Consider the following 27,661-nt stretch of genomic DNA (forward strand, 5'->3'; position numbering starts at 1 on the left):
TGGTTGTTCTATGCATATGCATTACTGACAATGAAGTACAGTTTGATCATCCCAAATCCAAAATCCAGAATCTGAACTACTTCAAAATTAGAAACTTCTTGAGTACCAACATGATGTTCAAAGGAGATCACTGGAGCATTGTGAATTTTGATACTTTTGGGTTTGTGATGCTTAACCAGTAAGAATAATGTGAATATTCCAAAATCTGAAAAAATCTGAAACTTGAAACACTTCTGGTCCAAAGCATTTTGAATAAGGGAAAATCAACCCATATTAAAATGGCCAATTAATATTGTTGAATTGTCTATTCCTCTGATTCTGTCAGGTTTTGCTTCACGTGTTTTGGGGCTCTTTAGTTAGGTGCATATATGTTATAATTGCTATGTCCTCTTGACAGGTTAACAATTTTATCATTATAAAATTTTCTTCTTTTTCTCTCATTACAACTTTTGTCATAAATTCTATTTTGTCTGGTATTAGTATAGCCACTTCAGCTTTCTTTTGGTTACTGTTTGCATAGAATATCTTTTTCTATTCTTTCTTTAGTAAAAATAAAATCTTTCGGCCGGGCGCGGTGGCTCACGCCTGTAATCCCAGCACTTTGGGAGGCCGAGGCGGGCGGATCACGAGGTCAGGAGATCGAGACCATCCTGGCTAACACGGTGAAACCCCGTCTCTACTAAAAATACAAAAAATTAGCCGGGCGAGGTGGCGGGCACCTGTAGTCCCAGCTACTCGGGAGGCTGAGGCAGGAGAATGGCGTGAACCCCAGGGGGCGGAGCCTGCAGTGAGCCGAGATTGCGCCACTGCACTCCAGCCTGGGCGACAGCAAGACTCCGTCTCAAAAAAAAAAATAAAATAAAATAAAAATAAAAAAAAATAAAATCTTTCCATATACTTGTCTTTGCATCTAAGATGAATCTCTCATAGATTCCAATCTCTTTATTAGAATGTTTTGTCCATTTACATTTAATATAATTACGGATGAAAGAGGATTTACTTTTTCCATTTTGCTGTTTGTTTTCTATACTTCTTACATCTTTTTTGTTTCTCCATTTCTCCATTCCTGCTTTTTCTTGTGTACTAGATAATTTCTAGTGTACCATTGTAATTCCCTTGTAATTTATTTTACTATTTTTTCAGTTATTTTTATTATGGTTGTGCTCATGATTACAATTAACATATTAATATATAGCAATCTATTTCATATTAATGCCAACTTTATTTCAATAAGTTTCTGCCAAGTTTTGTATATCCACTTATTTGTTGATGGACGTTTGAGTTGTTTCTACCTTTTGACTTTGGTTGATAAGGCTGCTATGAACATTGTGGTACAAGTATCTGTTTGAGTCTTTGCTTTAAATTCTTTTGAGTGTATACTTAAGAGTGAAATTTCTGTATCATAATTCTATGTTTAAAAACAACAAAAATGTTATTTTATACAGATCTATTCCCCCTTTTTATACTGTTATGATCAGAAATTACATCTTTATATCTTTGTGGCCATAAACATAAATTTTTAATTATTGCTTTATGCAGTTGTATTTTAAATCAGACAGAAAAAAATAATTACAAAGAAAATTTATACTGTCTCTTATATTTACCTGGATAGGCAACTTTGTTGGTGTTCTTCATTTTTTCATGTGAATTTGAATTTCAGTCTTGTGACCTTTCCTTTCAATCTGAGGAATTTCCTTTAGTTTTTCTTGTTGGGCAGTTCTTCTAATTATAAATGCCTTCAGTTTTTATTTATCTGGAAGTGCCTTTATTTCTTTCATTTTTGAAGGATAGGTAGGTATAAAATTCTTGACTGACAGTATTATTATTTCAGCATTTTGAATAAGTTGTCTGATTGTCCTCTGGCCTTCATAATCTTTCATGAAAAATCAGCTATTTATCTTATTAGGGGGTCCTTTGTCATGATGAGTTGTTTTTCTCTTACTGCTTTTAAGATTCTCTCTTTGTGTTTGTCTTTTGCCAGTTTGATTTGGTTTGTCTAGGTGCTGATCTCTTTAGCTTTATTCTATGTGGAGTCCACTGAGCTTCTTGGATGTGTAGATTAATGATTTTTTAAATAAAATTTAGGGATTTCTAAATTAGAGATTTCTATTTAGCCATTATTTCTTCAGATACTCTTTCTGTTACTTTCTCTCTCTATTCTCCCTTTGTTATTCTTATTATGTGTAAGTTGTTATGCTGGATGGTGTCTTATAGTTCTCTAAAGCTCTGCTCACTCTTTTTTATTCTTTTTCCTATCACTCAGGCTACATTATGTTATTTTTTAATTTTTAAAATCTAATTATTTTTTAATTGACAAGTAATAATTGTACATATTTACAGGGGGTACATAGTGATATTTTGATACATATAATGTATAGTGATCAGATCAATGTAGTTCACATATACATCATCTCAAACATTTATCATTTCTTTGTGTTGGGAACATTCAATATCCTCCCTCTAGCTACTTAAAACTATGTATTATTGTTAACTATAGTATTTGTGACTATTACTTTGTGTTTGAAAATAATGCATGCTCTTTCTTTGCTACATTCAGGAATCTACATATGTCTTAATATAATGTTTAGTCATATAGGCTCTAGCTTTGCACAGGTGTGATTCCTTTTAAATTGTTGCTATCTGAAAGGAATGTTTAAAAGTTTTCCTCAGCAATTGTGGATTTGTCAATTTTTCTTTTGATTTATATAATCTCTGTTTTGTATACTTTAGTGATATATGATTCGGTATATCATGATTGATGATTGTAGCATATTTTATAAATTTCATCTTTGATCAATATGTGTCATTCTAAATTATTTTATATAATGTTATTTTGCCTAAATAACATTTATATAGTTCCTCTTTGTTGATATACACAAATGAAGTTAAATATATATTGAATTATATATGCATATATACATATATAATTTTAAAATTTCACTTTTGTCATTTTGTACTAAATATATCTCTTATAAATATTATTTAACTAAATTTTTTTGTCTATGTAAACAAAAGCAGAACATTTCTCCTTTTGAATAAGTGAGTTTACCTAATTCCCAATTGGTTTTGAAAAGTCTAAAACAAATTTTTGTTTGTACATTCACTCTCTCCATTTTTAAACCAAAATTTCTATTAGGTGGATACTGGAATTTCTGGCTCTATTGTAAATATATTCTATCTTTTATGTCATACTTTTAGTCTTTTGGTATTTTGTCATCTGTTCCATGAGCATTCCTGGGCGTCACATTCCAGCTCACTAATTGTCTCTATTTTGTTAAGTTTCAAAAATTGTGATAAAGTATACATAACATAAAATTTACAATCTTAACAATTTTTAAGTGTAAATTTCAGCGGCATTGAGTGTATTCACAGTGTTGTAAAACTATCATCATTATCTATTTTCAGAACTTTAAAAATCATCCCAAACAGATCTATGTACCTGTTGAGCAATAATTCCCCATTCTTTACACCCCTCAGCTCCTGGTAACCTCGATTCTACATTGTCTCTACAAATTTGCCTATTCTAGGGTACCTAATGTAAGTAGAATCATACAATATTTGTCCTCTTATGTCTGTATATTTTACTTAGCATAATTTTATTAAAGTTCATTTATTTTTAATCATATATTAAAATTGTATTATTAAGACTGAATAATATTCCATTGTAAGTTTATACCACATTTTGTTATCCATTTATATGTTGATGGAGATTTGCCCTGGGCATTTCTCTGTTGGTAGTTTTTTGATTACTGATTCAATTTCCATATAAGTTATATGCCCATTAAGATTTTCTATTTCTTCATGCATCAGTCTTGGTAGGTTGGGTGTTTCTAGAAGTCTGTTCATTTTGCCTAGTTTATGCCATCTGTTGGAGTACAATTTTTTTGTAATGCTCTTTTATAACCTTTTTTGTTTCTGTAAAATTGGTAGTGATGTCCCCATTTTATTTTAGATTTTGGTAATTTGAGACATTTTTATTTCTTAGTCAATCTAGCTAAAGGTATGTTAATTTTGTTAATCTTTTTGAAGAACCAGACTAGTTCATTGATGTTAGCTATTGTTTTTCTATCTTCTAGTTTATTTACCTACACTCTTGCTTGAATAGAAACCACTTAAAATGTTCATTTTCTTTTTTTCACACTTTAGGAGAAGGGCCTGTAAATTACTATCTGTGGATCAAATCTTGCCTGCCACTTGTTTTGTAAATAAAGTTTTATTGGAATATATGCATGCTCATTTGTTTATGTACTGTTTTCATGTTGCAGTGGCAGAGTTGAGTAGTTCTAACATAGACTGTATGGCTTCCAAAGCCTAAAATATTTACTATTTTGCTCTTTACAAAAAAGTTTGCTGACTCCTGCTCTAAGAAGCTTTCAAATAGATTTATATCTAAAATGCAGCAATGGCCAAATTTATAGTAATGATTTCTTTTGCCAGGAAGATGGAAGGTTTTCTTACTGTAAAACATTTGCAGATTTTAATACTTCTCTCTGCCATGCCTTGTTTAACAGACAGATAGGCATGGAGAAGGCACCATGTGGCAGTAAGGGAGGTGGGTGCTAAGGGTGTATCACAACACTGGGAAGCATATTCCTTAACATTAGGAGTTTATGTGATTTAGCTGAAGAGAGAACACCTGTATTAGTTAAAAGGGAATATTTAGCAGCATTTAAACAAAAGCTATTTCACATGTCACTAAGTATACTATAAGAATTTCCAGAAAGAAGTATCATCCTTTGTCTAATAGTTCAGAGGATTTCTATTAGTAAATGAAAAATGACAGCCTCATTTTATCCTCCAAATATGTCAAAATTATCTTGAGTTGTTGGGTACCAGAACTGATAGGTGTCATGTATTTAAGCCCATTTGAAAAATACATTTCAATAATGGAGTGAGACTCTGTCTCAAAAAAATTTCAAATGTCTTTTCTCAATTGAAAAAACCTATTATTTCTAGATAGATAAGTAAATAACCTTTGCAAACTCGAGCCACACTTTTCCCCTTTCTTTTAAAATTCAGCTTAATATAATTGAAAACTGAAGTCTGACTCTCCAAGCCTATAAGGGATAAAAGAGAGACAGGATAGATAGAAATAACTGGCAACGAGGAGTTACTGGGCTTTGGCTCCATGGGAGACAATAGTGGTTTCATAGAAGGCAATGGTGGACTCTTAGTCAACTGAAGCTTGGGTGGAACTTAGCTGCATAATTAAGAAGCTGAATCTGTTTTATTTTATTTTTCTATAACATAAAGAGTGTGAAAAGGTCATTTTAATGTTCAGAGAGTGGCTTCTCTTGGAAAATATCCCCGAACATACCATGGAGCAGTGTCAACTGTAGTATAAAATGTCCTAGAAATCTTGCAATTTATGAGTTTAATGGCACACCTGAGGATTACGAGGTTTTTTCCGTCCACTCATAATAGCCCGGTGACTGATTTAGCAGAGAGGAAGCAAAATGAACAATCTTGATCACCTTTTAACATTTTTCCTGTCTTGCTGACTTCAGAGCTTTAGGGGTACAGCATTTGCAGGAATTGTATGTCTTTTTGGCAATACTTTAAAATCAAACTCAAAAGATGAAGAAGAAAAATGGTTATTAGATAGTTATAAATATGTCATTATTTGCAAATGGTATTGCTTTGTGGATATGAAGCTCTTCATTGCTCATCTGTTTTTAAGTTCAACGATCCACATATAAAGGTGTAAGGACTTATTGACATTGTGCTTCCTCTCTGTTGACACCATTAGCCCGAGAACTAAGGACAATGGATAGCTGTATATAAGTTCAAGTTCTGCATCTACTTCTTAGTTTCCCTTTCCATCCTTCAGTTGTGTTTGTTTTTTTTTTGAAATCTGTAAAGTAGGAATAATAATAAAGTTACTATTCTTTGTAGGGTTTTGAAGGATTTTCTTGAGATAATGTAAAGTACCAGGCATATAATTAGCCTAAATGTAACTCAACCGTGTTTTTTTATTTTAATATACATGTCACTACCCATCTCTAGTGCAGAGAATCAACAGAATACAAATAATTTTGAAGATTCATATAATATTCACACGTTGCAAAATCTTGTTTGTGGAGCCCTCATTGTAGCCTGTATGATTCAAACGATGCCACGTAGTCCTTTAAACATTTCCAGATATTAAGGAATTTTACACTGTTGTGTCACTTTTTAAATGTCTGCATTTTTCTGTCTCTCTCTCTCTCAATCTCTCTGAATTTGTTTATCCAGTGAATAAAATTAGGAAGAAGTGGATGCTGTAAGAATATTTATGTGTTTAAAGGTTGTGGTTGCCCCATTATAGTTACTTACCAGCAGCTTCAGCACGCAGTCAGAGACTGTAGAAAAAAGAATCATTCTTTTCTCTGATTTGAGGATGCATCTCCAGAGTGTTTCTGGGGTAATGGATCTAAAATCAAAATTTTAAATGCTAGTTTTTAAGTGTGAATTTTTCTTCAGCACTTTTGTTCTCTCCTTATAACCTTTTATTTCATTGAGTTCCAGAGAGCAGACAGCTTAGGTTTCTTGATTTGGCAGATCAATGAGGAAGGATAACTAAAGAAAGTTTAAAGGTATCTTTTATACCAAAATACCTCACTTCTCTTTCATTGCAGGTGTAGTTAAAAGCACTAATGCCATACCCTAGTTTTCTCACCTCTATTCTTATTATACTTGCTTTCTATGCTTAAGATGGCAATTAACTTAAATATCTGAGTTCATGTAGTTCATCTAGTAGATAAACAGTATCAGTGCTACCTGGATGTATTTTTGCATCACTTATTTGCATGATAGTGTTCAAAAATTTTTGTGAATTTCAACCACAGAAAAGACATAATAGGGCAATTCTCAAAGGAAAATATAGAAATGACCCAGTACAAGAACAGTAAAATATCTTTCCACCTGTTAATTTGGTAAAGATCAGAATGTGTGTGTTATGGTTTGAATGTCTATGACCCTCCAAAATTCATATATTGGAACTTAAACCCCAAGGTGATGATATTAAATGGTATGGTCTTTGGGAAGTGATTAGGCTGTGAGGGCTTTGCCCTCATAAATGGGATTAATGTGGGTATAAAAGAGGAATCAGAGAGCTGCCTGGCTTTTCCATCTCTTCTGCCATGTGAGGGCAGTGTCTGTCTCTTTCCCTTTCTGCCATGTGAGGACACAACAAGAAGTCACCATCTTGAAAACAGAGAGCAGCCATCACCAGACACCAAATCTGCCAGTGCCTTGATCTTGGACTGCTCAACCTCTAAAACTGGGAGAAATAAATTTCATTATTTATAAATTACCCAGTCTGGGTATGTTTTTAATAGCAGCATGGATGGACAAAGACAGTGTGTAACACTCAGTATCAACAAACTCCAAGGAAATGGGCACCCTGATACTCTATTGTGTAGTGTAAATTCACACAAATTTTGGAGAGCAATTTGGCAATATATATCAAAATCTTAAAAAAGTTCTAGGCACAAGAACCCTGTTTTAGAAATTAAGTCTATTGGAGTAGTCTGCAGGAAGTTGTGTCTGTAAATTTGTTTATCACAGTTCTGTTTATACTGGAAGATAACCCTCAAGAAATGTTATATATCTAATAATAGAGGATTACAATTACATGATGAAATTTTGTATAGACATCAAAATTATATTATATATATTATATATTATAGAAAAATAAAAATGTTTATGAAATGTGAAGGAAAAAATATCATAGGTTATAAAACAGTTTTCCTTCAAGCCCATTTCGGTTAAATTTATATATTTATGTTATATTCTGTAAATATTTATATTGAAATGTCCACAGTAACTGTATATAATGGAAGTTGCAGTAATGCTAACAGGTTTTCCTGACTTATCTATATATTTTTCAATTTGCTACAATAAACATATATTTTTTCTAGATGGATAAACAAAGCTGCTTTTTTATTTTAAACAAAAGAGATCAGTAAGATTATTTTATTTTCCAATCAGATTCTAAGCTCTCTGGGGCAAGATTCAGCTTATGAAGTATCAGATAACAAACATAATAGATAAATCTTTGTTTTTCAGCTATGTGGATTATTTTTCTAAAGCAGTCTGGATGAATTTTTTAGGGAAAGATCAACTCTTTAAAAAATTTACATTTTTCTTTTGTTGAATAAGACCAATAGCATTGATGCTATTATAAAAGATAAATAAAAACCACAGAAAAATAAACTTGGTTGAGCCTGTTGGGAAAACATTTATGGACAAACTATATTTTCAAAGAGCTTTGACTAACATCACTTTAAATCTTAAATCTTTCTTGTCCTTCTGGGTGTTCTTTCATGAATGAAAAAAACAGAAAGGCTTAAAAAAGAAATTCCTGCTCACCATCTCCCTAAAGCACCATCTCCCTTGCTGCTTTCGGTTGACTCTCATCAGTTCCTGAGTTCTAGCTAAAAGGTGCTTCTTGAATATTTCTCAAATTTTTAATATTCCTGAAATAAGATTATAGGGATGCAAATGATTTTCTCAACAGGTATTACCTAGAAGTCTACTTTCTAAGTATAATGTTTGGGTTAGTTGCCTGAGAACAGGATGGTGTTTTCTATGCCCTGGGCATAGAAATTTTATCAATGAGAGAATCTGGCTGATTAGCTTGAGCTTATTAATATTGGTGAGCATTTTTAGGTTTGGGGTAGCTTATTTTATGGTTCTTTTGCAAGGAAATTGCAGAATTACATAAATTTTTGTTTATTGTGTCTCTGGCTCTTCTTGCAGTTGGGACTTCACATCATTGGAAGGTGAATAGAAAAGTATGTCTTAAGAATTTCACCATGTTTTGGAAGAATTGCAGCAAGAAAAAAAGAACTCCTTTGTTTCCACCCCATTTCTTTTAAGGAAAACCTGGAATATCTGAGGGTGCAAGCTGAGAAAAGTCTGCTTATCTGTTCCCTACTCTGGCAATCAAAAAGGATCCAAGTCTACTGTTCTCTTCTCCTGGCACTCTTAACTTGCACACATTGCAACCTTTTATGGCAAAGTAATGGTCAAGCTATCCTAACAAGGACGAGCCCTTATTAAATAATTCACTGTGGTTGGGAAATGGTGAGGAAGCCATCTTCTTTTGTCTTCTTTTCTCTGAAAATAAAATTTTGTCTAATTTTGTATTAAGGACATTTGGGCTTCACTTTATTACATTCTCTACTTTCTTTAATAGCTCGAAGCTCATGACAGTACATGTCTGGTCTTGCAAAACAAGATGAATTTGTTAAATTAAACTTTTAAAAAAAATCAGTGTAACTGGCCATCTTTCATTATAAAATATTTTTTCTCTCAATTCAAGCCAATTGTGTGGGGTATGTGTGTTGTGTGTGTGTGTGTGTGTGTGTGTGTGTCTGCCTTTATGTGCTGCCTGAAAGCCATATGTCCTTCCTCAGGATAGAATTTTTAATTCTAGGTAATAAATCTCAAACTTTTGAGAACTAAACTGGAAATGCCACCTCTGACTTATCAATTGTTTCTGGCCTGTGCTTCTACAAAACACACAGCACATATTTTCTAACCATAATTGAAACCATTTTAAAATAGTGTTTTTGGAGGAGTGAATCTATGTGAAACTTCTGTAAGCTATTTGTAGGACAGCCGTGAAAATCCTCCATGTTCTATGCATTGGATTTTTTTTCCTCCTTACTCACAAGGATCATCTTCAGGTTAATATCACAGAAATTGGGACAACTTAGTGTTCGAGAAATAGAGAAATAGCTCAAGGAGCTATTAGATACCAACCCATACCATGTTGTTTTCTGAGGGTGGGAGAAACTAGAAGAAAGTTTGACATTACTCTCATTCCATGAGACAACCTCAAGAACACAAACCCAAACTATCCAGGTAGGACTTTTAGTTTAGGGAGACCACCAAAAGAACTGGAGCCCATTTCCTCTGGTGATTCAACAAGATTAACAGCCCCTCCTGAAGTTTTTGTCCAGTGGCCTAGAATCTAAATATGTGCTCATACCCAGTTCTTTGTCTTCAATTCCCGAGTCTTCTGTGTGACTCATTCTGAAAGTCCAGGTGTGGAAGGGAGAGGCGCATGGAGGAAAAAGCCAGGCTCAGAATTTATATTTGTTTAATGCCACATGTTCCCAAACTATTTCTGGGCTGTTTCAAAAACTGGTCTGCACAGATATTAATCTCTGTAACCATATGTCTGAAACATTTCATCACTGGGAAACAGCTGAAAGTAGTTGGTGAGGCTCTGTGGGATCCATGTTAGGTATTGTAAGTATGGTCAGAAGAAGAGCCTGTATCTGGAGCTTATGGGAAAATAATGAGAAATGCCTGTACCTCCTCTTTCTTATTTTTGAGGTTGGCTGCATGACTACAGTTGTTAGGCCCAGGTAAGTTTATTCCCAAAGAGTAAGGGTTGGGATGGATGGTATGTGTGGATTATCTCAGGCAGGAGATGAGGTCAAATGAAGTTTTCCTGGAATCATCTTGTTAACCAGGTGTATTATTTTTTAACCCAAGTCATCACAACAACAACAACTTTTTTTCATATCATGTTTTCTCAAAAGTATATTATGCAAATAAAAATCTAAAACAAGAGAAATACACCATACCTAAGATCACCTCTTATTCCATATAAGTAGGACTAGTTTTTAATTGGCTCTTCCAAATGTTTGATTTATTTTGGGAGGGTGGTCATAAAAATGATACATACATACCTTTAACATTTTCATTTAACATAAGGCATGAAACTATGCAATTATTTTCCAATCTTTTGATGTAAGGCCAACCTTTACTTTGAATGGGTGGTAGCTGATTGAAGTTCTACTTTGTGTTTCTTGCAAAAACCACACCAATAATATATCTTCTGCAATTTCCAGTTTGGGTTTCTCTGAAGCAAAGCAAGAATTGAAAGCTGTGTGCAAAGGCATCAGAGTGCAGAATCTTCTTGTATTTTGTACAATATGTATACCACCCCAACTTTAATTGTTTCTGGCATAACTAATTCAAGTTATTTTGACAGTTCAAATTTATTTAGTCTCTACAAAACATTCAATTGTTCATAGATAAAATGCTCATTTTCTTTTCCTACTCAAATTTCATCAATGTGTGCCATATTTAATTAAACTTAATTACAATAGTATAAACTACTTGGAAATAAGCACAATACTTGTGAGATGGATGTAGGGGGCCTCAGGTATTAGAGAGTAGTTGTCTAAATCTCTGCATTCTGAACCTATGGGCATCAGTCAGTGTGTTACAGAGGATGGGAGGAATTAGTTAACTTCATGAATCCCTAAAGCAAACGTCAATTAAGATGACGTATCCTGTAGGATGGACTAAATAATGCTGCAGCAAGGAATACTTCCCAAATTGTCATGGCTTGCGATAAGTCTTATGTTTTTCTCATGTTTTATGTCCATTATGGATCTTGCCCTGGTACCCAGCCTGATGCAGCAGCTGCTCTCTGGATCATGCCTCATCGCTGTGGCAGAGCTTATTGCAAATGAGTAACTCTACCTGGGAGTGACACATAACTCCACTCACAATTCATTGTCCAAAATAAGTCAATGACCACACCTAACTTCAGTGGGACAAAGAAACACTATCCTACTCTGTGCTTAGAAGGAAGAAAGATGAAAATATTTGGTGATGGCTCTATGACTACCATGGATAGCTTTTATTTTAATATTGTACATTAATAGCGCTCTCTTTCAGTATACTTACAATCAGTATGCTAAGTGATTGCTTTATAGTATAACCTCAGTGAATGCCTTAAGACAACCTTGCCAAGTTGGTACTATCATGCCTATTCTACAGATGTGGAAATGAAACACACAGAAGATAAATACTTGCCAAAGATGGATCAGCACTAATCACAACTTGAGCTCAGTAGTTTGATGCCAGGGTGGACGTTCTGAGCACCTATGCTTTAGCTTCCTCTCATAAGGGAGGAGAATGACAGCTGGACCCCAGTAGACACGTATTTGAGTTGATGATAAAGTCAGCTACAATGCTGGGCTCAGCTTTGTCACAAACCATCCCAGGATTTTCTCTGTAAGATGGGGCTAGCATTACTTTGCTCTACTATTTGCCCCACAGATAATTTAAGAGTCATTTTCTCTATGCCATACCAGCCTTAAATCCAAGACCTGCACTGTCCAGTACAGCAGACACAAGCCCCATGTGACCACTGAGCACTTGAAATATGGCTACTTTGAATTGAGGTATGTTATAAAATATACTCAGGATTTCAAAGAATTAATATGCAAAAGCAGTATATCTCACTAGTAATTTTTCGTATTGCTTATATGAATGACAAGTGTACATATATTGGATTAAGTAAAATGTATTATTAATATTAACTTTAGCTGTTTTTAAAAAAAATTTTGAATGTGTATAAATATTTCAAAATTACATATGTAACACATCATATTTCTTCTTTTTTTCTTGAGACAGAGTCTCGCTCTGTTGCCCAGGCTGGAGTGCAGTGGCACAGTCTCGGCTAACTGCAACCTCCACCTCTCTGGTTCAAGCAATTCCCTGCCTCAGCCTCCCGAGTAGCTGGGATTACATCCACATGCCTCCACACCCAGCTAATTTTTTTATATTTTTAGTTTCACCATGTTGGCCAGACTGGCCTCGAACTCCTGATCTCAGGCAATCCGTCTGCCTCGGCCTCCCAAAGTGCTGGGATTACAGGCATGAGCCACCGTGCCCAGCCTTAATTTTTCACTTCAATAGTTTTTTGGGAAAAGGTGGTTTTTGGTTACATAAATAAGTTATTTAGTGGTAATTCTGAGATTCTGGTGCACCCATCATCTGAGCAGTGTATACTGTACCCAGTGTGTAGTCTTTTATTCCTCGCCCTCCTCCCATCCTTCCCACTGAGTTGCCAAAATCCATTATATCATTCTTATGTCTTTTCATCCTCATAACTTAGCTTCCATTTAAAAGTGAGATCATATGGTATTTGGTTTTCCATTTCTGAGTTACTTCACTTAAAATAATGGTCTCCAATTCCATCCAGGTCACTGCAAATGTCATTATTTCAATCTTTTTTATGGCTGAGTAATATTCCACAGTGTATATATACCACATTTTCTTCATCTAGTTGTTGATTGATGGGCATTTAGGCTGGTTCTACTTTTTTTTTTTTTTGCAGTTGAGAATTGTGCTGCTATATACTGCATGCACAAGTGTCTTTTTCATATAATGACTTATTTTCCTATGGGTAGATACCCAATAGTGGGATTACTGGATCAAATAGTAGTTCTACTTTTAGCTGTTTAAGGAATCTCCATACTGTTTTTCATAGTGGTTGTACTGGTTTACATTTCCACCAGCAGTTTAAAAGTGTTCCCTTTTCACCACATCCATGCCAACATCTATTTTTTTTTAATTTTAAAATTATGTCCATTCTTGCAGGAGTAAAGTGGTGTCTCATTGTGGTTTCAGTTTGTGTTTTACTGATAATTAGTGATGTTGAGCATTTTTTCATATGTTCCATGGCCACTTGTATATCTGCTTTTGAGAATTGTCTATTCATGTGCTTTGCCCACTTTTTGATGGTATTGTTTGTTTTTTCTTGCTGATTTGTTTGACTTCTCTGTAGATTCTGGATATTAGTCTTCTGTCAGATTTATAGATTGTGAAGATTCTCTCCCACTCTGTGCATTGTCTGTTAACTTTGTTGATTATTTCTTTTGCTGTGCAAGAGCTTTTTAGTTTAATTAAGTCCATTCTATTTGTCTTTGCTTTTGTGGCATTTGCTTTTGGGTTCTTGGACATGAAGTCTTTGCCTAAGCCAGTGTCTAGAAGGGTTTTTCCAATGTTATCTTCTAGAATTTTTATGGATTCAGGTATTAGATTTAAGTCTTTGGTCCATCTTAAGTTGAGTTGATTTTTGTATAAGGTGAGAGATGAACATTAAGTTTCATTATTCCACAGGTGGCTAGCCAACTATCCCAGCACCATTTGTTGAATAGGTTGTCCTTTCCCCACTTTATGTTTTTGTTTGCATTGCCAAAGATCAGTTCACTGTAAGTATTAATATTTGGCTTTATTTCTCAGTTCTTTATTCTGTTCCATTGTTCTATGTGCCTCTTTTTATACCAGTACCATGCTGTTTTGGTAACTACAGCCTTGTAGTATAGTTTGAAGTTGGGTAATGTGATGCCTCCAGATTTGTTCATTTGCTTAGTATTGCTTTGGCTATGTGGGCTCTTTTTTGTTGCATATGAATTTCAGGATTGTTTTTTCTAGGCCTGTGAAGAATGATGATGGTAGATGGGAATTGCATTTAATTCATAGATTGCTTTTGGCAGTATAATTATTTTCCCAATATTGATTCTACCTGTTCATGAGCATGGTATGTGTTTCCATTTGCTTGTGTTGTCTATGATTACTTTCAGCAGTGTTTTGTAGTTTTCCTTGTATAGATTTTTCGCCTCCTTGGTTAGGTGTATTTCTAAGTATTTGATATTTTTGCAGCTGTTATAAAAGGGATTGAGTTCTTGATTTGTTTCTCACCTTGGTGGTTGTTGGTGCACAGTAGTGCTACTGATTTGTGTACATTGATTTTGTATCCTGAAACTTTACTGAATTCATTTATCAGATCTAGGAGCTTTATGGATGAGTCTTTAGGGCTTTCTAGGTATATAACCATATTATTGATGAACAGTGATGGTTTGTCTTCCTCTTTACCAGATTGGATGCCCTTTATTTCTTTCTCTTGTCTGATTGATCTGGCTAGGACTTCCCATACTGCATAAGCGGTGAAAGTGGGTATCCTTGTCTTGTTCCATTTCTTAGGGAGAATGCTTTCAACTTTTCCCCATTTAGTATAATGCTGGCTGTGGGTTTGTCATAGATGGCTTTTGAGGTATGTCCTTTCTACGCCAATTTTTTGGAGGGTTTTATTCATAAAGAGATGTTGAATTTTGTCCAGTGTTTTTTCGGCATCTATTGAGATGATCATCTGATTTTTGTTTTTAATTCTGTTTATGTGATATATCATATTTACTGACTTGTGTATGTTAAATTATTCCTGCAGCCCTCATAAAACACCTACCTGATCGTGGTGTTTTATCTTTTTGGTATGCTCTTGGATTTGGCTAGCTAGTATTTTGTTGAGGATTTTTGCATCTATGTTCATCAGGGATATTGGCCTGTAACTTTCTTTTGTTGTTATGTCCTTTCCTGGTTTTGGTATTAGGTGACACTTACTTCATAGAATGATTCAGGGATGATTCTCTTTTTCTCTATCTTTTGGAATAATTTCAGTAAGATAGGTGCCAATTCTTCTTTGAATGTCTGATAGAATTCAGCTGTGAATCCATCTGGTCCTGGACCTTTTTTTTGGTTGGCAATTTTATAATTATTATTTCAACCTCAATACTTGTTATTGGTCAGTTCACAGTTTTTATTTCTTCTTGATTTAAGCTAGGAGGGTTTTATATTTCCAGGAATTTATCCAACTTCTCTTGGTTTTCTAGTTTGTGTGCATAAAGGTATTCACAGTAGCCTTGAATGATCTTTTGTATTTCTATGGTATCGGTTCTAACATCTCCAGTTTCATTTTTAATTGAGCTTATTTGGATCTTCTCTCTTCTTTTATTGATTAATCTCACTAATGGTCAATCAAGTTTATTTATCTTTTCAAAGAACCAGCTTTTTGTTTCATTTTTTTTTGTATATTTTTTGTTTCAATTTTATTTAGTTCTGCTCTGATCTTTGTTATTTCTTTTCTTCTGCTGGGTTTGGGTTTGGTTTGTTCTTGTTTCTCTGGTTCCTTTTCAGTAGTTAGGGGTTAAATTAAACTCAGAAATCAGTCTATGCATACCCTGACCTCAGAGATGATGCTGTTCCACCACACCTTTGCTGGGCTTGCATTCTACTTTGGAATTCCACGTCTTGAGAATTATCTCTTTAATGGCAAAAGTGCCAATAAGCCTTTCCCAATTTTCTCCATTGTGAAAGTAACATCTCTTATATCATAATGTATATAATATCCATGTCAATGTATTTTGGGTGTAAAGGGTGAAAGTTAGGAAGTATCCAGTTGGAATTCTGTGTAAAGTGCACTGAATCTGGGGAGGCAGAGAATGCTCTACTTACAATAGCTTTCTCCTCCCCCAAACTATTTGCCTTCCGTTTAATTCCTCAGCACCTTCTCTCTTTATCCCAGGCTTTTGCTCGAATCTGCCATCTTTTCAATTAGGTAAAGAAATCTGGACAAATATTTCCAATCCGTCAGTTCCGGACCCTCTGGATGGTCAGTCAGGGAGTTGACTACAATGATCTAGTTGCCCAGGGGCCTGCTCTGCCCTTCTTGTCTTCACGGCTGCAAATGAAGTGCCCCTGTGGGCCCCTAGCATGTGACAAAAGGACCTCATCTTTACCTTGGTGACACATTGCCTTATAAGGATGTCTAGGGTCTCCATTTGCTGACAGCCTACACAGTGGGGGAAAATTGCTTTTCAGAACATGACTGGCCCCTACAAAACCAAATGGCAACTCTGGCCCTTGTTTGGGTTTTGTGTTTTGAGCTGCATGTTGGATTAGCCAGCTGCTTCTTCAACTCTGCTCCCTCTGTCCGTCTTTTGGATAAATCTGTTAGTCCTTCAGACCACACAAGTGAAAAGGGTACTTGCAAATAACTCCCCTGCCCTCTGACTTCACTTTAACAGCCCTCCAAGGAGATAAGGTCGCAAGTTCACTGATGGCAGGAAAGGCTCGCTGCAGGCCTGAGCGATCTCACACATTTACTGTGCCATTCCCAATTCATAAAGAAGCCACAGTGCCTTAAGAGCCCAACGACTTTTCCATGTGTTTGGTATTTTTAGTTCTAAGCACTGTCTTCAGTGCGTCTCCAACATGTGTTTGAGAATGACCCAGTGGTCCCATATTAAGATAATTATTTTAACTGCTGTTTTGAAACACCATAGCAGTGTACCAAGAAACTTCCTACCCAGCAACCTGCACAGTTGGTTAAGCAAAAATTGATCCCTAGTTAATCAAATGAATCTAATAAGTTGTAGATAAATACATGATTTCATCACCTACAGTATGAGCACCCAAAGGGAAATAAGTGACCTCACTAAAGGTGTTGATTCTTCCCATAATAAATGGTGCAGCCATATGCGTGTGCTCAGCAACCCATGATCTCACAAGGCATGCTGCTATAATAAACTGAAACAATATGAGTATGCAGGAGGGAAAATGCTACCCATAGCGAGCATGACTACCTGGAATATGTCTTAACAGACTAAAACATAAATTAGCCTCTATAAATCTCATTGCTTGTTGCTTCACTGACATACATGTCCTGCCAAAATATTACATTCTTGAAAGAGCTGTATAAGTAGATTAAATGGTTTTTGTCCTTGGGAATGTGGAAACCTTTATTTGTTTTGTTAAGAGACTTTTAAATATCCTTAGGTTATGCCTCAAACAGATGTCCAGGGTAAATGCTCCTGACCCATTTAAACATTTCTTAGCTTGAATTAAGGTCCAGTTTCTGCAGCTTGTGTATAGTTCGACTCACTGGGCAGCACCTGACAAAACTGTGAGGCTGGTAATGCTAGGCTTGATGGCTCTATGGTGTGACTTTTAATGGCAGGACTGAGGAAACTAAGATAAATTAAAACCTAATTGGGTATGTTAACAGTTTTAGCAGTCTTCACATATGGATCCCATGAGGACACTTTAAAAGATGTTACAGTTTAGCTCCTGTTGCAAGGCTTAGCTGCAGAATGAGACCTGAACAGTTGTCTTTCCAATCCATTTCACAGGGTTGAGTTTCTTTTGATATTAGACGTTGTATTTACTGAGTAAAAAGTCACATTTGCTCTTCATCCCCAACTGGTTCAGTATATAATGAGGGGGCTTAGGATGTAAATGTCCCAATATGAAAGCCATAGAACATTCATCAGAAGGGGGGATTCCTATGGTGATGGCTCCATGCTAGAAAGTGCTCTTCAGGCAGAGATTTCAAGGAGTCTCAGTTGCCTTAAAGTAAGGGCCTCCATTGCTCACTTGCAGTCAGAGTGGCTCTAATCTGCAGACTCTGTTCTGTAACTTGAGCTCACATCGCAAAGAAAAACACTCTCTGTGTGCCTCACAATGAAACCAAAATTAATGCTATTTGAGTATTCAACCAACTCTAGACCCTATGGTCTTTCTGTCATTGCTAGTGTCCATTCCACTGACTTGGAGTGAGCTGAAGAAGGCAAATGATTTAGCCAAAGCTTTTTTTCAGGGTCTTCAAAACAGATTCCTTCAAACTTCAAGTAAGAGTTCAGTGTCAACAGAGCACTGATGCCTATGTAAAAGGACTGAGGAAGGATCTGAAGAGGTCCTTTGTTCTTGCAATTAAGAAAGAGACTGGGAAGTGACTTATTGGTGTGTTTGGTGACATTCCCTAAATGTAGGTTTTCCATGGCTGATAGAATTAACTCACAAATCTTGTTTCTTATAAAAGACTCCTTGAGGGTGGCTGATGCAGAGTTTCACTATTTTTTCTATCTATGAATTAAAAGCTCTCTGAGTTTCTCCTCTGATTTACCTGAAGAACGTGAGGACTATAGAAGTGAAATGATGTCTTAACCAGCTTGAATTCACTTAGGGCTCTGTAAGTAGCAGAGCAATAATAATGTCCACTAATAGAGATTCCAAAAGTTCTTTTAGAAAGTACCTACTAAGGGCAAATTTATACAATTGACTTGAGTTAGCTGGAGATGTCTAATATTGTGAATAATATTCTTATAACCATTTTGCATTACCAAGTTTTTTGGCAAAATTGAAATTCCCTAGTTGGGTAGTGGGTATAAGGTTTTTCAGAACTGCTATATATTTGATTTTTAGAGTCAACTTTCACATTTGTCTCAAGAGATGAGAAAATATTAGATTAAACTAATGAAAGCGTTTTTATTTCAAATATGAATATTTTGCATAGATTTATTGCACATCATTGCATCAAATATTAACTTAGACATTGATGAAAAATACCCCTTCCTTCCTCCTTCCTAATACATCCTTAAACAGTGTGCATTAAAACGTGAAAGGAAATAGAGTATGCAAGTACATGCATGTGTGTACTTCGCACACTGTTATCTATTTTAGGCTCAAATAGATGTATCTATGGTTGAGAAATTCCCATTAAATATTGGGGCGAGGTTCAGATGCTGTAGATATTTGTTTACATTTTATCAAATGCTTTCTTACATGTGAACCCCTCAATCTCTGAGAAATCACCTAAGGGAAGCCATGGATCTGCCTCCTCCAGGTTTCATTATTGCATGGAATGTGAGGGGATTTCTGTCTTAATTAATGCATAAGCCAGCTCTTCTGAGTTTGGGTGGATATCCTTGAGGAGAAAGGTAGCTAAAATTAGCAGCCTCTACTCTCTTCTGTGTTCCTTATAAAAAAAAAGAGAAACTGTCTCATCTTTAAGAATGGACCAGTTATGAACTTCCAACCTTTCCATTAATGCTTTGAAGCAATGATGGTGCTGGCTGATGTGCTTAAGTAGGACCATTAAATTTGGGAAATAATGAGAGGAAATAAACAGAAAGAGTAACTTGAAACTGGACGATCCTGGCTTAGAAGATATGACTTGTTCTTAGGTTTATTTACCTTTTCTAGGATTTTGGGAAAAGAGAAGGGCCTTGCAGAGCCCCTCTTATTAATAACCCCTGCCCAACCCCCCTACTTTTCCAGATCCTTTCCCTTTCTAAGGAGAGGTCCTGCAGGACGCCTACCAGAGCCATGCATCAGACAGTGGCTTCTGCCCAGTCACGGCTGGGTGGGTGTGGCCAGCTTATGGGAAAGTTCACGTAAGAGGTTGATTTAATCTCTCCAGTTTTAAAATGTGGAATGGTATGGTCTGAATGGCTTTGAATTAGAATAAGGTCTAAACTGATTTGAGAGCAAGGCCTGGATTTGAAAGGGAGAGTGATGAAATCAAAGAATGTCAGAGCCAAGTAATGTTAGAGATTTAACAAGAACTGCATGTATTCCCTGTTATGTGCATGTAGGTATGAGTGTATGTGTGTTATGAGTGTGTATGTGTCTATATGTATGTGTGTGTTTGTGTCTGTTGGGGAGAGAAATGGGATAAAAAGGATCAGAATCTCACGTAGACTTTTCCTAAGTCATTTTCCCCCCAAAGTCTCATTTGTCCACCTCTATGAAACTTACTTGGCTGAGAACTGCTGCCAAATGATCCATTTTCTAATGTGTTAGTAATCACTACATGAATCCTCTTGAGAAAGAGCTGGGCCAGGAGAACTTAATGACTTCCAAGGTCACACAGCAAATCCAGGGCCGAGCCTGGTTCCCCGCTCCTGTTCCAGGCTCCTCCCATGCCACCACATCATCAGGCTTGACATATGTTCGCCTTTTCTCCTTTGGATCTCAGCTCACAGGGACATCCACAGCCAGATACGAATTATCACCTGAAGGCATTAATTTTTTATTATTAACTTGATACCAAAGGAAACACATGTAAAAAAGTGAATGCTTTGTTCCTAAGTGCATTTCTCTCCATAATTTCAGTGAGTTCTGTGTGGGTGACAGTTTTTAATAAAATTCCTCTCCAGCTGCTCATATGAGAAAGTCTAGAAACATTGACCTTTAGTCACTGGATGACTGAGCTGTTTACTCTGGCTGTGGACGAGGTTTGGGTGTAGAGTCCTCTGTCTTCCTGCCTGTGCTGGAGTGGGATAATTTGGAGGCAGTGACTCAGGCTTCTGTGGGGACTTACTTAGTATAACAACTTTTCTGGGGCTAGGAAGACCACTTATAATATTTTCCAAAGAGGGCAAGAAAACAAAATTTCATGGGAAATTTTAAGAATGAAAGTTTTGTGCATGTGAGCCTTGGAAAACTATGCACAAATAGTACCCATTAATTTCTGTTTTCTTTGTGTAATTGAGAATTCATGTAACAACTTACTAGCTGCACATTTGGTGACCCCTTATGTTAATAGCTGCTTTTCTGTTCTTTTGGAATGGAGATCACATTCCACCTGCTCTTGGACTGGGTCATTCCATGATGTCTCAATAGATGATTTGTTTCCCACTTCCCTGCACCACAGCACTGGCCTCCTCTTCACCTACCTACCCTTTATTTTGCCTTCTCCAATCCACTCTTACCCTGGAAGCTAGGATTGTCTTTCTGAAATAAGGATATGAGCAGCTCCCCATTGGTTTTAGAATCTAGCCCAAACTCATCATGACTCATGGGGCCTGTGGGATCCGGCCACCATCATCACCTCTGGCCTCATCTAGCCCTGCTGTCTCCTTACCCTGTGTGAGCTTCTGTCTTTCTGGACAACTCTCTGTTTCTTGGACTTGCCACCTTCTGTTAGAACGTTGCCTGTAGCTCTCTTTCCTCTCTGAGCCTAGCCACAGCAGATTGCTTCGCTGGTCCAGTTCTTCATCCCTCCCTTTATTCATATGTGGGCAATGGCATCAGCATGAGCAGAGTACATTTCTCTGACTCTTGGCTTTGATCATGAACAGGTGAGTTGCTTTCGTCAATTGTATATGGGTGGAAGTGATAGTGTCCAAGCCAAAGCCTTCAGAGGTTTTGAAGGTTTCCACCTGCACTGCTGAGCCTCTGCCATCACTCCAAGCAGAATTTGTCCTGGGAAGCTGCTGCCCCCTCACTCTGTGACCCAGAATGAACCCATGTGCAGAAGAGAAGCCCCGACCTTAGTAGGGTGACAGCATCAGTTGGACCCATAGCTTAAAGCAGAGCTGCCAAGCAGAACCCAGCCTACGTCAGCCAACTAGCTGATCCCCAGCCAACCTGAGGACACATAAGCAATAATAAGTGTTATCTTAGGCCACTGAGTTTTGAGGTAGTTCATTACGTAGTCAAAGTCAATGAATATGTTGGCCAATGCTGACTTTGCAGGTTGCAGTTTGACCACCTCATTTTTGCTAGGAAACCTTCTTGGATCTACCTCCATGCCTCTCTTAAGTCTGTGATGATTGCCACTTGTATGTGCCCCCATAGAGAACTTATCCAACTCTATTGTGTCTTTCCTCCAGACAAAGGCACAGATCTCACCTGTCTTATGCGACTGCATCTCTGAACAGTTTCTTCATTCACTCTGCAAATCTCTCCTGAGCATTTGCCAAATTCCAGGCATTGTCTTAGGAAGTGATGTACAAAGCTCCTGCTTGAAGGAAGCTCACATTCTTCTGGGAGGAACAGGGAAAACCACACACCGACACACACACGCACACCCCACAGTAGTGAAAAAGGAAAACAAAGTAAAGAGGAAAAGAGCTCTGGAGAAATGTTGCTTTGTTGTTTTGGATGGGGCAGGAAGGAAGACTGACTATGTGAACACTGATACAGACATGTTGCTAGTTTGATGGCTGCGGATACAAGCAATTTCTTTCCCCATTGCCTCTACTTTCTCGCTGAAATAAGAAAGCACAATCAACAGTGCCCCGCCTGATGAGCAATGCATCGAATGAATGAGTAAATGGGTTTCAAGCTCAGTGCAAAGCGTATCCATGCAGGTTGAAAAAACATGAATGTGGACATAATGACAGAGAGGTGAGTGCACTGATTCTTGAGGGGGCATTAAAAATAGCCATGCACTTGTAGCTAATGAAGAAATGCATTAAAAAACTCCTTAGGTGGTGAAAGAAGAGATAGGAGTGAATAAAGCTAAAATAGTTGTGGGATTTGCTTTATAAATATTTTGGAACCAGCTTATTTGAATATAAAATGTCTTGGTTGCAAGAAAGAGAAACATTGTTGGATTAAGTCAGGAATATCAGGAGGGAGATGGTTAAAAGGCTACCCAGAAAACTCGCGGAAACAGCCAGACCTGGAGAAAGCAGGGACAGAGGAGCCATCAGAAACCAAGGCTGATACTGTCTCCTCATTGTACTATTGCAATCAGTTTCCTTTGCTCACTTGTAAAGCCCAACAGAAGAACTAAACCCAAAGTCCACAGGGCTCTTGACCTCATGCACCCACCACTGACTAGCCTGTTGTCAAGGTCTCTTACTTCTTGAGGGACAGAGAAGTGCTCTTTGGCTCAACTCAGTCTTCGACGCTCTATTAACCATATAGGTCACTGCCATGAGCTATTGCAAATGACTAGGGTGGTGTCCTGTCATCTATAGAGTGCTCCTTCCTGAAGCTACAGGTAGGATGAGTAGAGCTCAGATCCATATGTTGTGGAAGCCACAGGCTCCAGACATCCTTAGTTGGGTAGGATCTCACAGATCTCATGAAGTTGTAGAGAATATTAATTTTATAAGTTAAAACTAGATTGTGTCCATTTTATCTCTTCAATAGAAATACAACTTAGGCTGGGTGGTGGCTCACGTCTGTAATTGCAGCACTTCAGCAGGCTGAGGCAGGTGGATCACCTGAGGTCAGGAGTTTGAGACCAGCCTGACCAACATGGAGAAATGGTGTCTCTACTAAAAATACAAAATTAGCTGGGCGTGGTGGCTCATGCCTGTAATCCCAGCTACTCTGGAGGCTGAGGCAGGAGAATCTCTTGAAGCCGCGAGGCGGAGGTAGCAGTGGGCTGAGATTGTACCATTATATTCCAGCCTGGGCAATAAGAGCAAAACTCCATCTCAAAAAAAAAAAAAAAGAAAAAAAAAGAAAAGAAAAGAAATACATCTTATACACTGTTTTTTTTTTTTTTTTTTTTTTTTTTTTTTTTTTTTTTTTGAGACGGAGTCTCTCTCTGTCGCCCAGGCTGGAGTGCAGTGGTGCGATCTCAGCTCACTGCAAGCTCCGCCTCCCGGGTTCACGTCCTTCTCCTGCCTCAGACTCCCGAGTAGCCGACCGCCACCAAGCCCGGCTAATTTTTTTGTAGTTTTAGTAGAGACGGGGTTTCACCGTGTTAGCCAGGATGGTCTCGATCTCCTGACCTCGTGATCCGCCCGCCTCGGCCTCCCAAAGTGTTGGGATTACAGGCGTAAGCCACCGTGCCCGGCCCTTATACACTTTTTAAAACAAGTGGCCCATATTTCTTCCACATGCCATTTATATGCATAAGCTGATTGAATGAAAAAATAAAATCTTTTTATCCATTGCTGACCTGAAATAAGTACACACCAGGTGTCATGATCTGTCCAGGTACAGAGTGAAGGCCAACTCTACCATCATTAGTCAAAAAAAAAATTTTCCAAGCTCTCAAGTGAAAATATAATGAAAATACAATGAAATTCTAATTCCAAAGACTTGTATTCAAATTTTGGCAATTACAAATATTGGTATAATGGCAAGACTTGTATCTTCTCCAAGCCTCAGTTTCTATATTAATAAAAAAGCAAACAATGTCAGGTAGAATAGCTCTAAGAATTAAATGAATGAATACACAACAAATGCTAATGTTTTGGTAAACTCTAAAGTACAATATAAATGTTATTCTATTGCAAATAAGAACATACCTCCACTAACCAGTGTGTTTTTGTTCAAAAGTCAACAGGAATTGTACTGTATTTGGCTGGATAAAGCTTATCATGAGATGGATGTATTCCAGACATAGGAATATGCCTTTACTTTCTCTTAACATTTTATTTTTGTGAATACATCAGAATCCACATAGAAATAATCAGCACTGTATTATCGTAGAATGTTGAACAACCAAGTGAAGATTCTACAATATTTGAAGAAATGTTTTCAGCAGCTTGAAAATGATGATGCTTATTAGGATTGCACAGATTTTTGACTCTAAGTTTTCTGTGCTCAATAGCAAATTTTTTTTCTATATATGTTGGAGAATGTGGAGTGCCTGGGAAAAGAAAAAAATTATCCACATCTACATTTGGACATTCGGTTTTGAAGATGGAAAAGTTGTGAGCCAAGGAATATGGGCAGCTATATTCACACGTCTGATCAATGAAAAAAGGAGGCCTTACACAAGCCAAATCTTATGATGGAATGGCAAGAGCTTTGAAAGGAAATTCCCCAGTAGGGAGGAGCTTGACAAGTTCAGCCAGACTCAGCCATAGGATGTGGTGTCAAAGCACCATATCTGTTCCAAAATAGGCAAAATAAGGGCCCCTCAGAAATGTCCATGTCTTAATTTCTGGAACTTGTGAATATGTCATATTACATGGTAAGGGGAAATTGAGTTGCAGATGGAGTTAAGGTTGCTAATCAGTTGACTTTAAGATAAGAATATTATTTGGGATTATCTTCACAGGCCCAAGGCAATCATAATAGTCTTTGCAAGTAGAAGAAGAATCAGCGTCAAAGTAAGGCAGGGTGAGAAAAACTTGACCTGCTATTAATAATTTTGTAGAAGGAAGGGGGTCATGAGCCAACGAATGTGGGCAGCATCTGGGAGCTGGAAAAGGCGAAAAAAAAAAAAAAGAAAAGAAAAGATTCTCTCCCAGAGACTCCAGAGAGAACACGGCCCTGCTGACACTTTTTGTTGAATGAGACCCATTTTGGGCTTCTAGCCTCCAGAGCTATAGGACTATGAATTAGTATGGTTTTAAGTTACTAGGTTTGTACTAATTTGTCACAGCAGCAATAGGAAACTAAAGCAAACACCAGACCTAAGCTTCCTCCTGCCTCAGGTGGGATAATTCAGGCATGATGTGCATGGTTTCAGTGGGTTGGAGCCTCTGCTGCCCACTGCAGTACACTCTTCACTGCGTACCCTGTACCCTCTTTCCCTTTCTCACTTCATCTTTTTCCTGGGGTAAATACTTAATTCCAGATAAATGACTTGCCTCACATTTCTACCTTGGGATATGCTTCTAGTGGAACCCAGACTCATGGAAGGGGAAGATCATGAGTGATAAATTCCAGGTTGTGGTCTGCTTAAAAGGATGCAAGAGTTTGTGTTGCTTCCTCAAGGCCTTTGGTGTAGTTGAGAGTTGTTTCTGCCTGCCTTCATTCCGCTTTCTTCTGATAAAGCATCTCGCCTTTGTTCAAGGCACCCCCTTGTCAAACAACCGTGTGAGCCCCTGTCTCCAGGTGAAGACACCTACCCAGCCGGCCTGGGGCATATGTATTCTTTTGGCTTCCATGAATGTTTTTGGTCTGGGTAAGTGCAATCTGCTTCAATAACTTTCTCTTTCGCTTAGGCTGCCTGTTTGTGTGGATCTGGGCCAGAGCTTTCCTGCAGCCATTTGTAGTCATCTTGCAGATTCTCAAGGGGAGAGGCTACTTGAGAATAAAGCTGGCAGGGAGGAAAGCAGAGCAAGAGAGCAAGATTGAGAAGGAGAAGACAGGCTATAGGGCATCTTAGGGGCCAGGGAGTCAGCACATCTGATGCGAGCTCTACCTTGGGACTTTCCATAAGACTCTAAATTTGTTTTCATTTGCATTGAAACTAGTTTGAGTTTGGTTTCCATCTCTTACACCCCCAAATATCCTAACTAATACAGACTTGATCATATTGCTGGTCTTCACTGGTCACCTGTATCTATTGGCAAAATGTGTTTCAGAAAGTGGCAGGATGGGGCTTACTTATTGAACTAAACAGCCTGTGCACTAAAGAATGGCCCTAGGTGGGTCCAACCTAGCAAGTGGTGTGAGGAGCTTGCTTCCTGTAATGAGGAAGTGAGGGGTGGAAAGCTTGGGAGATGGCTCACTAGGTAAGGTGACATTTGGGGCTTGGCATCTAGGACCAGTGGTTTAGGCTAAGTTTGAGACCAGCCTGTCTAGTCTCCTCTGAGGATGGCTGTCTTGGTGGAGCAATGTTAAAGGAGTAGAAGGCAGGAGTGAGCTCTGGTCTGCCACAGGAGACCACACTTTGCAGAGTGATTAAGAGAAAGTGGCACATTACCAAACCTCCAAGTTCCACTTCTGCATCCCCAGGAGTCTCACTGGGAATCCAGGCCAGCCCCAAGGCCAGGCTCAAAGCCTTCATTGTTTCCAACAATGACTTAAATCCATTTCATTGCCAATTTCCAGAACTTGATCTGAATTTTATTTATCATCCATCCATTAAACTCCTACTGTGTGTCAGCAAGGAGTTATTAAAGATACTCTCAATTTGCCTGCAGTCTAGGGGTAACATATGGCAATAGGGATAGCTTGAATCACACGATATTAAGGATGGAACAGGGGAACAGTAATTCAAGTGACCACTGACTTAGCATCAGAAATAATGGAGGACATAAGAACCTGTGAAACATCTCTAAAAAAGAAAAGAAAAATTATCAAAGTAGATTTTTTTTAAATCCAGCAAATACATGCTTCAGGAATTAAGGTGAAATAAAGACATTTTTAGATTACAGAAAACCAAAAGAATCAACCACCAGCAGACCTATACTAAAAGGCCATCTTCAGGCTGAAGGGAAATGATACCAGACAGAGGCTTACATTTTCAGGATGACAGGAAGAGCTCTAGAAATAATACATTTGTGGGTATATATAAAAGTTGTTTTCTCTTAATTTATTCAAAATATATATTACTAATTAAGGTATTGGTTGTAAAAGTACAATCTGTGGGTCAAATCCAGCCCGTTGCTTATTTTAGTAAATACAGTTTTATTGGAACCACAGCCACATTCATTCCTTTAAGTATTGTCCATGGCAATACATTCTCTCTCTCTCTCTCTCTCTCTCTCTCTCTCTCTCTTTCTTATTACAAGAGCATATTTGACTAGTGACAAACTGTATGACCCCAAGAGCCTATAATATTTATGATCTGGCCCTTTACACAAAAGGCTTGTCA

At 37.4% G+C, this 27,661-nt stretch overlaps 2 annotated features.

Annotated features, from left to right (window-relative positions):
- Positions 16,434-17,842: an enhancer, noted in NCBI's record as "Xe1". NCBI's record gives its function as "enhancer in somite" and the evidence as "EXISTENCE:transgenic organism evidence [ECO:0001131][PMID:25784220]".
- Positions 19,677-21,276: an enhancer, noted in NCBI's record as "PEC7". NCBI's record gives its function as "enhancer in somitic muscle, spinal cord, and heart" and the evidence as "EXISTENCE:transgenic organism evidence [ECO:0001131][PMID:25784220]".

The sequence above is a fragment of the Homo sapiens genome, chromosome 20 (genome assembly GCF_000001405.40).
Source record: "Homo sapiens chromosome 20, GRCh38.p14 Primary Assembly".
Lineage (NCBI taxonomy): Eukaryota > Metazoa > Chordata > Mammalia > Primates > Hominidae > Homo > Homo sapiens.